Here is a 13,134-nt window from a genome sequence, read left to right on the forward strand (position 1 = left end):
TGCTCCCTTGTTCCTTTTTTTCTTTTTTGAGACATAGTCTCACTCTGTCACTCAGACTGGAGTGCAGTGGTGCAATCTCGGCTCACTGCAACTACCACCCTCCAGGCTCAAGGGATGCTCCCACCTTAGCCTCCTGGGACCACAGATGTGCGCCACCATACCAGGCTAATTTTTTTGTATTTTTGGTAGAGATGGGTTTCGCCACATTGCCCAGGCTGGTCTCAAACTCCTGAGCTCAAGCAATCCGCCCACCTCAGCCTCCCAAAGTCCTGGGATTACAGGCGTGAGCCACCGCACCCGGCCCATGTTCCCTTGTTCTGTTGCCATACAAATCAGCCAATTTCTGAGTGAGGGGGACCTTTTACCCCAAATCTGCTTCTTACTCTATATTTTTTAACTTAGTGAATGGCAAAACCATTTCTGTTACTGGAACTCAAACTGGAAACCAGGACATCATCCTAGCTCTCCCCCTCTCACTTACTGCCCACAACCAGTCAGATGTGGTCTCATCCTTTCTTCCCCCATTGCTTCTGCACACATCACTCTTTACTTGGCTTAACTGGCCTCCAGTCTGACCCCTTCCAATCTATTTTTTATGCTGCTACCAGAACCTAAATAAAAAATCACTTCCTCCTTGAAATCCTTTGATGGCTTCCCATAGCTTTCAGGTTAATTTTCAAAATCCTTAGTTTAAAATGCAAAGCTTGGCTGGGTGTAGTGGCTCATGCCTGTAATCCCAGCACTTTGGGAGGCCAAGGCAGGAGGATTGCCTGAGTTTGGGAGTTAAGAGGCCAGCCTGGGCAACATGGCGAGACCTCATCTCTACAAATAAAAAATTAGCCGGGCATGGTGGCATGCACCTGTGGTCCCAGCTACTCAGGAGGCTGAGGTGGGTGGATCAATTGAGCCCAGGAGTTCGAGGCTGCAGTGAGCCCTGATTGTGCTACAGCACTCCATCCTAGACAGAGCCAAATGCAGTTTCTCTTCTCTTTTTTTTTTTTTTTGAGATGCAGTTTCACTCTTGTTGCCCAGGGCGGAGTGCAATGGCATGATCTCGGCTCACTGCAACCTCAGCCTCCCAGGTTCAAGCAATTCTCCTGCCTCAGCCTCCCAAGTAGCTGGGATTACAGGTGCCTGCCACCACGCCCAGCTAATTTTTGTATTTTTAGTAGAGACGGGGTTTCACCATGTTGGCCAGGCTGGTCTCGATCTCCTGACCTCAGGTGATCACCCACCTCAGCCTCCTAAAGTGCTGGGATTACAGACACGAGCCACCACGCCCAATCAAGATGCAGTTTCTAATACAAAATCAAATAAAATGCAAGTATCTTGTGATCTGGCCCTGTTGGTCCTCACGCTTTATCCTCCACATGCCTCCCTCATGCCTGGTTCTATACATGATAACATTTGTGCTGTTTGCCTCTGTGCAGTTCCACAACAGCTATGCCCTCTGCCTGGAGTACCCATATCCTCCCTTCATCTGAAGCTTACTAGTTCTCAAAAACATCCATAGTCTTCTCCAAAAATGCCTTTCTTAATTCTGCAGTTTAGGCCGGGTGTGGTGGCTCACACCTGTAATCCCAGCACTTTGGGAGACCAAGGCAGGTGGATCACAAGGTCAGGAGATCGAGACCATCCTGGCTAACATGGTGAAACCCCATCTCTACTAAAAATACAAAAAATTAGCCAGGTGAGGTGGCGGGCACCTGTAGTCCCAGCTACTCAGGAGGCTGAGGCAGGAGAATGGTGTGAACCCTGGGGGCGGAGCCTGCAGTGAGCCGAGATCGCGCCACTGCACTCCAGCCTGGGTGACAGCGAGACTCTGTCTCAAAAAAAAAAAAAAATCTGCAGTTTATTAAGTGCTCTAGGTATACTCCCACAGGCCCATGCTTCTATCCTCTCACCTTTCCAGTGGGCTCTAATGTTGGTTTACTCATTTGTCTCTCCTACTTAACTCTAAGTGTCCTGATGGCAACACACTTGTTTTATATCCTTATATCATATCTGTAGCACTCAATTAATCTTTGTTAAATGTACAAATAATACCAGGCATCTCTGTTCCTACCCTCAGGAGAAAGTAAAATACCCTAGTTAGACTTTCAACGATGCTTATAAATCTTGTAATTTACCTTTAGCAGCCCCAAAAGCCAAACCTTGACACTCTCAAGTCACCCTAGTCATGTCCATACTCCTCCCTCTCAGCAGAGGACTTCACTTCTCACTTCATAGAACAAAAAAATGAGCCACTGAGACTGGAAATGTAAGAACCTCACAGATCCCTTCTCCTGACCTAAGGATGAGGTCTCCTCCCAGGCTCTGCAACAATACCCCTGGGCTCTTGATTCCTCTCTCCCAGGTCTGTCTTTTGCTAAGTCACACTCATTTTGTATCTTCACTGTTCCCCTCTTCAGGAATTCCTTCCCCTATACTCAAATATTCTAAAATCCACACCTTCCTCCAGTAAAATCAAAACAAAATAACACACCAGGCCAGGCACGGTGGTTCACTCACATCTGTAATGAATCCCAGCACTTTGGGAAGACAAGGAGGGCAAATCACTTGAGGTTGGGAGTTCAAGATCAGCCTAGGCAACATGTCTCAAAAAGGGTGGGGGGAACACCCAAAAACCAAAATAACACACCACAGAAAACTTAGTTTTACCTTCCCCTCAAGTTACTGCTTTCTCATCCTCCCTTCACTGTCAAATCTTTAAAAATGTTAAATCTGGCCAGGTGCAGTGGCTCATGCCAGTAATCCCAGCACTTTGGGAAGCTGAGACAGGTGGATCACCTGAGGTCAGGAGTTTGAGACCAGCCTGGCCAACATGGTGAAATCCCATCTCTACTGAAAATATAAAAATTAGCTGGGCATGGTGGCGCACACCTGCAGTCCCAGCTACTCAGAAGGCTGAGGCAGGAGAATCGCTTGAACCTGGGAGGCAGAGGTTGCAATGAGTCGAGATTGCCCCACTGCACTCCAGCCTGGGTGACAGAGCAAGACTCTGTCTCAAAATAAATAAATAATTCATCCCTGGGATGCAAGGCTGGTTCAACATACACAAATCAATCAATGTAATCCAGCATATAAACAGAACCAAAGACAAAAACCACATGATTATCTCAATACATGCAGAAAAGGCCTTTGACAAAATTCAACAGCCCATCATGCTAAAAACTCTCAAACTAGGTGTTGATGGGACGTATCTCAAAATAATAAGAGCTATTTATGACAAACCCACAGCCAATATCATACTGAATGGGCAAAAACTGGAAGCATTCCCTTTGAAAACTGGCACAAGACAGGGATGCCCTTTCTCACCACTACTATTCAACATAGTGTTGGAAGTTCTGGCCAGGGCAATCAGGCAGGAGAAAGAAATAAAGGGTATTCAGTTAGGAAAAGAGGAAGTCAAATCGTCCCTGTTTGCAAATGACATGATTGGATATTTAGAAAATCCCATCGTCTCAGTCCAAAATCTCCTTAAGCTGATAAGCAACTTCAGCAAAGTCTCAGGATACAAAATCAATGTGCAAAAATCATAAGCATTCCTATACACCAATAACAGACAGAGAGCCAAATCATGAGTGAAATCCCATTCACAATTGCTTCAAAGAGAATAAAATACCTAGGAATCCAACTTACAAGGGATGTGAAGGACCTCTCCAAGGAGAACTACAAACCACTGCTCAACGAAATAAAAGAGGACACAAACAAATGGAAGAACATTCCATGCTCATGGGTAGGAAGAATCAATATCGTGAAAATGGCCATACTGCCCAAGGTAATTTATAGATTCAATGCCATCCCCATCAAGCTACCAATGACTTTCTTCACAGAATTGGGAAAAACTACTTTAAAGTTCATATGGAACCATAAAAGAGCCCACATTGCTAAGACAATCCTAAGCCAAAAGAACAAAGCTGGAGGCATCACACTACCTGACTTCAAACTATACTACAAGGCTACAGTAACCAAAACAGCATGGTACTGGTACCAAAACAGAGATATAGACCAATGGAACAGAACAGAGCCCTCAGAAATAATACCACACATCTACAACCATCTGATCTTTGACAAACCTGACAAAAACAAGAAATGGGGAAAGGATTCCCTATTTAATAAATGGTGCTGGGAAAACTGGCTAGCCATAGGTAGAAAGCTGAAACTGGATCCCTTCCTTACACCTTATACCAAAATTAATTCAAGATGGATTAAAGACTTACATGTTAGACATAAACCATAAAAACCCTAGAAGAAAACCTAGGCAATATCATTCAGGATATAGGCATGGGCAAGGACTTCATGTCTAAACCACCAAAAGCAATGGCAACAAAAGCCAAAATTGACAAATGGGATCTAATTAAACTAAAGAGCTTCTGCACAGCAAAAGAAACTACCATCAGAGTGAACAAGCAACCTACAGAATGGGAGAAAATTTTTGCAATCTACTCATCTGACAAAGGGTTAATATCCAGAATCTACAAAGAACTTAAACAAATTTACAAGAAAAAATCAAACAACCCCATCAACAAGTGGGCGAAGGATATGAACAGACACTTCTCAAAAGAAGACATTTATGCAGCCAACAGACACATGAAAAAATGCTCATCATCACTGGTCATCAGAGAAATGCAAATCAAAACCACAATGAGATACCATCTCACACCAGTTAGAATGGTGATCATTAAAAAGTCAGGAAACAACAGGTGCTGGAGAGGATGTGGAGAAATAGGAACACTTTTACACTGTTGGTGGGACTGTAAACTAGTTCAACCATTGTGGAAGACAGTGTGGCAATTCCTCAAGGATCTAGAACTAGAAATACCATTTGACCCAGCCATCCCATTACTGGGTATATACTCAAAGGATTATAAATCATGCTGCTATAAAGACACAGGGAGGGATAGCATTAGGAGATATACCTAATGTAAATGACAAGTTAATGGGTGCAGCACACCAGCATGGCACACGTATACATATGTAAAAAACCTGCATGTTGTGCACATGTACCATAGAACTTAAAGTATAATAAAAAATAAATAAATAAAAACAAAAAATAAAGCCTTCATTTTATGTCTGATCTGTGTAATATCTGATTCTCATGTTCCTTCTTAAGATGTTCTTCCATTCCTATGGCTTCTGGACACCATTCTCTCATGGGTCTTTCAACCCTCTACATCTGCTCCACTTCTACTTCACCAGTATTCCTTCCCTAGTCCTTATTATTCCTGCAGACTTATTTTTGTGGGAGTTCACTGGATCTGTGACACGTCCACCCTTTCCTACCCTGTGGAGCAGACTGACTACACAGAAAAATGTTGGGCACCTGTCACTTGTATTAGTTTCCTACTGCTGCTCTAATGTATTACCATAACCTAAGTGGCTTAAAACACCACAAACTTTTCATGTGACAACTCTGGAAGACAGAAGTCCAAAACGGGTCTCACTAGGCTACAGTCAAGGTGTCAGCAGGTCTGTGTTTCTTCTGGAGGCTCTGGGGGAGAATCTATTTCCTTTTCCAGTTTGTAGAGGCCACCTTCACTCCTTGGCACATGGTTCCTTCCTCCATTTTTAAAGTCAGCAGCATAACATCTTCAAATCTCTCAACCTGACTTGATTCTCCTACCTTCCACCTTCTTGTAAAATCCGTTGTAATTACACTGGCCCCACCCAGATAGTCCAGGACAATCTCTCAACTCAAGGTCAGTTGATTATTAGCAACCTTAATTCCATCCACAACCTTAATTTCCCTTTGCCATGTAATGTAACACATTCCCAGGTTCTGGAAATTAGGATGTGGACATTTCTGGGAGTGGTGAAGAGGCAATATTATTCTGCCTGCCACATCAGCGAAACCAGCAAATATATAAAAGATAATGGGACCTTCAGTGAGGCATCAAACTGGTCTAAAATAGACAAGATGAGCTTAGCATGGTGGCAGGTGCCTGTAATCTCAGCTACTTGGGAGGCCGAGGCAAGAGAATCATGTGAGCCTGAGAGGCGGAGGTTGCAGTGAGCCAAGACCACGTCACTGCACTCCAGCCTGGGCAACAGAGTGAGACTCCGTCTCAAATAAATATGAAAGACAAGATGAGAACAGTGTGAAATGGCAGAATAGTTGCAGGAAGAACTGAATGAGGACTACAAGGGAACAAAATACTGCCCTTACACTCTAGGTTTCAAAAAGAAAATTAGGCTGCATTTTATAGAATAGCTCACATTTGTCTCTGACACATCTCCCCATGCTAAAATTATAATTTCTATTTCTGGAACCTTCCCTACATGATCACTTGACTCAGAATCCTTTGATGACTCTAAGCATATCTTCTAATCCTCCCCCAATCTCTTCACAACTTTAAAATTATGAAACCTAACAAATAAGTTATTGAATATGCAAAATGACCATTATACACATGAAAATATGTTCAATTTCACTCATAATACAAGAAATGCTCATCAAAACTGCTGTAAGGTACCATTTCTTACACATCAGATTGGTGAAAACTTCTAAAGCCTGACAACACATTCTGTTGGGCAGGCTGTGGAGAAAGAGACACTTCTGTAGATTGCTGGTGGGAATGCCAATATATTAAAACCTTGTAGGGAAATCTGGCAATATCTAAAAAACTAAACTTTATTTTCCTTTGACCCAGCAATTCCACTTCTGGGAATTTACCCTGAAAATATACCTTCAATAATATAAAAACACCGCCGGGTGCAGTGACTCATGCCTGTAATCCCAGCACTTTGGGAGGCCGAGGAGGGTGGATCATGAGGTCAAGAGATTGAGACCATCCTGACCAACGTGGTGAAACCCTGTCTCTACTAAAAATACAAAAATTATCTGGGCATGGTGGCATGTGCCTGTAGTTCCTTCCAGCTACTTGGGAGGCTGAGGCAGGAGAATCGCTGGAACCCAGGAGATGGAGGTTGCAGTGAGCTGAGATTGCACCACTGCACTCCAGCCTGGCGACAGAGCGAGGAGGAGGGGGGAGGGGAGGGGGAGGGGAGGGGGAGGGGGAGGGGGGAGGGGGGGAGGGGGGGAGGGGGAGGGGAGGAGGAGGAGGAGGAGGAGACAACACATATGCACGAGGTTATTCCTTGCAGCATTGTTTGCTGTAATGTCTCCAGCCTACATGCTCACTCACATCTAGGAGAGCATTTAAACTATGCTATACCCACACAGTGGAGGACTATGCAGCTATAAAACAGAATGAAGAAAAGATCCCTAGAATGTGAAGTCCTCCACTCTCTGCTTGTAGATTTCGGATGCTTTCTTCAGGATCCTTTCCATTTGACACTTCTCTTGCATCTTTCTAAGGCCATCTGGGCTGGGGTCCACTTGTCCAGGCTGTGTCGCTTCTCCCCCTTGTTCTTTTTGCTCATTGCCATGGCTTTCAGGAAATTTGCCTTGCCTTTGTCCTTCTTTTTCTTCTTCTGCTTGATCACACTGAGCTCTGCAATGCCTTTCAGCTAAAGGGGTCCCTTCTGGACCTGCTCAGAGGCTGTCACGGCACCCGCCGCAGTTTGGTAGGCAGACTGCCCTGGTTATTCTAATGATCAAATTGTCCCAGATTTCGCTATTGGAAACCCCTTTAAGCTGGCTCCTGTTGTCTATTGACATGTCTCATTATTCTTTGAATGCTTCTTTTTTTTTTTTTTTTTTTTTTTTTGAGATGGAGTCTCACTCTGTCGTCCAGGCTGGAATGCAGTGGAGTGACCTCAGCTCACTGCAACCTTCGTCTCCCAGGTTCAAGCTATTCTCCTGCCTCAGCCTCCTCAGTAGCTGCGATTACAGGCATGTGCCACCTCACCTGGCTAATCTTTGTATTTTTAGTAGAGACAGGGTTTCACCATGTTGATCAGGCTGGTCTCAAACTCCTGGCCTCAAGTGATTGGCCTGCCTTAGCCTCCCAAAGTGCTGGGATTAAGGCGTGAGCAGTGAGACAACATAGCCTAGGTAGCAGAACCACCACCCAAGGCAGGAATGGAACATACACCTTGTCCCTTTCTGAGCTCATTCCCCCAAAACCCCACTTCCAGACACTTCTAATGTGTATTGCCAGGGCAGGTATTTATAATCAATCACGGTTTCTTTGTAATGGAACCCAGACACAGTCTGCCTCATAACCCTCATCTCTGGGCTCCAAGCAGCCTCTTGTATTTACTCAGAGTTAGCCCATCACCTGGAGCCTATTTGGCATTCCAGCCTTAAGGACACCTCACGGGTGACAGGACCAAGGCACAGCCCCAGTGTAAACAGACATGGGTGCAGTCAAATGGGAGGGTCCAGGTACCAGTGCTGATGGGCCAGCGTCTTCAAGGGCCTACTTAACCTAGATGAGGATCAAACTACATGTGCTGCTGGGAGAAACAGTCTCTGCTGATACAGATATTGAATGAATAACAAAGGCAGAAGAGAAAAATCAAGCATGGAGTTTGAGGTTGGCCCATGTAAACTACAGAATAAAGCAAAAACCAGTTATTTTAAAATAAAATAAAATAAAAATAATCATAGTGATGGATTATAAGCCACTGAATAAAATAGGAATGCAAGAGTCCAAACTGATAAAAGATTAAATAGAGAAGAAAGAAAAGCTATTCCTCATTAGAATGCCTACTAATAAATGGTTGTTTGTTTTTGAGATGGAATTTCCCTCTGTCACCCAGACTGAGTGCAGTGGCGCAATCTTGGCTCGTTGCAACCTCCACCTCCTGAGTTCAAGCAATTCTCCTGCCTCAGCCTCCCCAAGTAGCTGGGATTACAGGCACGCACCATCATGCCCAGCTAATTTTTTTTTTTTTTTTTTTTTTTTGAGATGGAGTCTCATTCTGTCACCCAGGCTGGAGTGCAGTGGTGCCATCTCAGCTCAGTGCAACCTCCGCCTCCCAGATTCATGCCATTCTCCTGCCTCAGCCTCCCGAGTAGCTGGGACTACAGGCGCCTGCCACCACGCCCAGCTAATTTTTTTTGTATTTTTAGTAGAGATGAGGTTTCACCATGTTAGCCCGGCTGGTCTTGAACTCTTGACTTCAGGTGATCCACCTGCCTTGCTTGGCTTCCCAAAGTGCTGGGATTACAGGCATGAGCCACCGCGCCCGGCCATAAGTTTTTTTTTAAGGTGATATATTTAGAAAAACCACCATTTAGCAAACTAAAATTAATGGATTCAAGCAAGGATCATCAACAGACACTGAAATTAATGGGTAAAAGTCTGACAAATAACAGGATATTTGTATAATATTAAAGTACCTGTTCAGAAACTACTTATTAATTAAAAGGGAGAAAAAAAAGTAACCACAGTGGAGAACCAGGCAGACACCACGTTAATCCACATGATGAAAGCAGTGGTGTGCTAGAGCCCATTCCTACCAACCCAGGAAAGGGACATTTCCCAACTTTGTGTTCCGTGATGACAGACTCTATTTAGAAATTGGGCATGGTGGGAATATTTACAACACAGAATGGGGCAATGGCAAATGCCACAGAACAGGGCAATATCTCCCCCTCCAGAGCCAGTTGAGTTGTTAAACATTTGTCAGCACCACACTGGATCAAAGTTAACTACCACCAGGCAATTCAACTTTCTGTGTCTCCTGATATTTCACACTAAGAAGAGCACAACATCATTTTTGTCATATTCTGCCCAAAATGTATGACCTCAATCTAGTGAGAAAACATGAGTTGGGGGAGGGGACGGGAACACAGGATTAGATTGAGAGGCATCCTACAAAATAACTGGCAAAACATCAAGGTCGGCTGGGCGCGGTGGCTCACACCTGTAATTTCAGCACTTTTGGGAGGCCAAGGTGGGTGGATCACCTGAGATCAGGGGTTTGAGACCAGCCCGACCAACATTGTGAAACAAAATCTCTACTAAAAATACAAAAAAATTAGCCGGGCGTGGTGTGGCGCTTCTATAGTCCTAGCTACTCGGGAGGCTGAGGCAGGAGAATTGCTTGAACCAAGGAGACAGAGGTTGCAGTGAGCCAAGATTGCGCCATCACACTCCAGCCAGGGTGACAAGAGCGAAACTCCATCTCAAAAAAAAAAAAAAAGAAAAAAAAATCAAGGTCAAGACAGACAAAGATGATTAGGAAGGTGTTTCAGACTAAAGGAGACTAAAGAAACAGGACAACTAAATGCAATATATGATCCTAATTGGATGCTAGACCAGAAATTTTTTTTTTTTTTTTTTTTTGCTATTAAGGACATAATTGGGACAACTGGTGAATATGAATAAAATCTTTAGATTGAAAAACAGAATTATATCAATGTTAAGTTTCTGATTTTGAACACTGTACTATGGTTATATAATAAAAGAATGCCCCAAATGCATACAAAAGTATATGGAAGAAAAGGCATAAGTCTGCTACTGTCAGGTGGTTCGCCAAAAATATTTTTTAAAGAAAGAAACATGTTAATAAAGGAAAATGCGGGTACCAGACACACAGTTCTTTGTACTATTCTGGGGACTTTTCTATAAGTCTGAAATTATTTAAACATTAAGTTACAAGGGAAAAACCATGAACGCTACCTGATCCTCTGCCCTCATCTCTAGGTCCACATGGCTGCAGTCGGAGGGAGGCGGTGAGCAAGGTGTTCTCCAAGGTCTCAAGGGGCCCCAAGGCTACAAGGTCAGAACAGAAGCAAAGGCCACGTCCACCACCGACCCACCTCAAGAGCCACAGCCTCTCGGGTCTCCACAGCCCCACTCAGGTCTCACACACAGGCGCAGGGACTAGCCACAGGTGCAGCAACGTCACGTCTTTCCCCTGGGCGCGTGTGCAGCTCGAGGCTTTGCAGGAGGCGCACCTGCGATGGCCTTACCGCCAGGTGAGCCCGGCGGGCTCTCATCGCCTCAGCCGGAGATTCCAACTGCAGGGAGCGCACCTCCTCTGGCTAGGGCGTGTTTCCGAAGGATGGCAAGAATCCTGGCCTCTGATGGCTATCTTCTCCCCTTCCCCTCCAAGCCCAGTGTTGTGACCCTGTGCCCTCTTTCCCCTCAATTTTGGGCCCAGGAGTCAGGTACTAAGACTCAACAGTCACAGAGGGAAGTCAGGAGCTCCCTTGTGAAGGCAGACTTAAGCAAATGCATCTTCTTCCAAAGCCTTCATGTTTTTCTTAATGTTGGCTTCAAAAGCCTAGTTTGTGGCCCAGGCTGCTACTGGTGAGTTTCTAGCAGGGTGCTGGAAATCTTGGCCAATACCAGCCGACCACTCCCCCAGTCCCCTGGGGCGTGTTTCTGGGCTTTCCCATTATCAATTAGTTGGAAATTGCACATCGTGTCCTGGCCTTACAACAAACACCTGTTCTGATCTACAGCCTCTTGCTGAAGGAACAACAGGAGACAGACAGCAGGTGGCGGGGTGTGCCACAGGTATTGTGCTTCTTACGCTTAAGTTTTCTGATGAAGTCTCATTCATAGGATGAAGCCGCTGTATTTGAATTCTGGGGTGAACACAATAAGCTGCACAGGGAACAGACTCAGGCGCTGCTAAATCTGTTGTGATTATAGTTGCTTTTGCAAGTTTCTTCATTCATCCTATGTAGACAAGCCAGGCTAGACAAGGAATCCATTGTCTAGCATAGCAACTGGCACACAGTAGGTGCTTGGTAAATATCTGAATGACTTTATAATGCCCTGCACATTCTGCAGAGTTGAAGTGATCATTCTCCCAATACCTGTAAATCTGGAAGTATTTTTGCCTATGTTGGCACTGCCATACTTCTTTAAAATGATACTTTAAAAAGAAAATGTGTTCTTCAAATACAGTGCTTGTGGAAGAAGTCCTGAGGTTCCCAGTGATCTCAAATGCTGAGCAGTGGAAAGGAGACTGAATAACAGCATTATGATCTGTGTTTTTACTCTGTATTCATGAAATCTGATTATCATTTCCTCTATGTATTTTTTTCTTATCCCCTTCCCCTGCAAAATGAAAAAATTCGGTAGTGAAAAGTGTGAAGGAAAGACAATTGTTTCAGTTGAGCAGATAGGCTTATCAAACAAATGAAAACAAAAAAACACATAATCAAGAGTATGATGGGAGAGGAAAAACAAATTATTTTTAATGATTCACGGCAACCACATTTATATCCTATTGTTACTAGAGAAAAAAATGTCTTCAGATAACCAGTGGTCAGCAGATGAGGATGAAGGCCAATTATCCCGACTAATCAGGAAATCTAGAGACTCCCCCTTTGTCCCTATAGGTAAGTACAAGCCTTGACTGGATGCAGAAAACTGTAATAACACAATGATGCCTTACCCAGTGCCTTTGCGGATTGAAATGTTTCTTATAATTGAATTTTTTCAGATAATTGAAGCTAACCTCCTCTAAGCATGTGTTGAACTTTCAGAATAGTTCCTAATACATGGTAAGCCCCCAGTAAATGTTAGCTGTTATTTGAGGCATCAAATTTTATTCTATTTTATCCATTTCATTAGAAGTCTACCTAAAATTATTAGTTCCTAGCCAGTCAAATGGAATAGATTGAATGAATATTAACATTTCAGTCATAACTCAGGACCATCAACAGCAGCATCAGTTTATTATATTTAAAGCCTATTAGGGACTATTGAGATGCATATGTCTCTTTGTCTTGTAAGTAATCTAAACTTTAAGTTCTTACATCTTCTGTTTATAGATTTTTCTGTTTCTATCTTACTATTGGGCACATTAAAAACTTCTGCTTCTAGGCCGGGCACGGTGGCTCATGCCTGTAATCCCAGCGCTTTGGGAGGCCGAGGTGGGAGGATTGCTTGAGCTCAGGAGGTGCAGGTTGCGGTGAGCCAAGATCACACCACTGCACTTCAGCCTGGGTGACATAGTGAGACCCTGTCTCAAAAACAAACAAACAAATAAACAAAAAACCAAAAACTTCTGCATCTAATGTTTTTAATGCTCTGTAGCACCAGAAGCTAGATAACCAAGCTTGAAAGAACTGTGGGTCAATTCAGAGGAAAGCTCTGAGTAAAAGCCTGGATCTATCTGAACACTTGTGAGCATGAACTTTGGAGTGGTCATTTTGGCTGCTCAGTGGCCCTCTGTGCTGGCTTCTTGGTGTGCTCCAGGTGTTGAGTTTGATGGCAAAATAAATTCTGGACTAAAGAAGTGATACTATAATTAGGC

The 13,134-nt window shown here is 44.0% G+C and overlaps 2 protein-coding genes across 8 annotated transcripts in view, besides 1 other annotated feature; one reads left to right on the forward strand and one right to left on the reverse strand.

Annotated features, from left to right (window-relative positions):
• HIGD1C (HIG1 hypoxia inducible domain family member 1C) overlaps positions 1-13,134 on the forward strand; it is a 41,483-nt gene that overhangs the window by 10,769 nt on the left and 17,580 nt on the right. For 2 of the 5 annotated variants that reach the window (XM_017019783.3, XM_017019784.3), the window contains exons 2-4: positions 10,563-10,638; positions 11,327-11,381; positions 12,113-12,214. In XM_017019783.3, coding sequence (XP_016875272.1) covers positions 10,563-10,638; positions 11,327-11,381; positions 12,113-12,214 — 233 coding nt within the window. Of the gene's footprint in view, positions 1-10,562; positions 10,639-10,665; positions 10,838-11,326; positions 11,382-12,112; positions 12,215-13,134 lie in introns of those variants that run through there. The other 3 variants (XM_011538649.3, NM_001109619.4, XM_017019785.2) reach the window with 2 other exon arrangements.
• SLC11A2 (solute carrier family 11 member 2) overlaps positions 10,385-13,134 on the reverse strand; it is a 76,624-nt gene continuing 73,874 nt past the window's right edge. For all 3 annotated transcript variants that reach the window (XR_001748720.2, XR_007063077.1, XR_007063078.1), the window contains one exon: positions 10,385-11,930. The gene's annotated coding sequence lies outside the window, so the exon portion shown is untranslated. The remainder of the gene's footprint in view (positions 11,931-13,134) is intronic.
• Positions 10,748-11,248: an enhancer, noted in NCBI's record as "H3K4me1 hESC enhancer chr12:51346409-51346909 (GRCh37/hg19 assembly coordinates)". NCBI's record gives its function as "activates a minimal SCP1, AML or CMV promoter by ChIP-STARR-seq in primed H9 embryonic stem cells {active_cell/tissue: H9 hESC(primed)}" and the evidence as "EXISTENCE:reporter gene assay evidence [ECO:0000049][PMID:30033119]".

The sequence above is a fragment of the Homo sapiens genome, chromosome 12 (genome assembly GCF_000001405.40).
Source record: "Homo sapiens chromosome 12, GRCh38.p14 Primary Assembly".
NCBI lineage: Eukaryota > Metazoa > Chordata > Mammalia > Primates > Hominidae > Homo > Homo sapiens.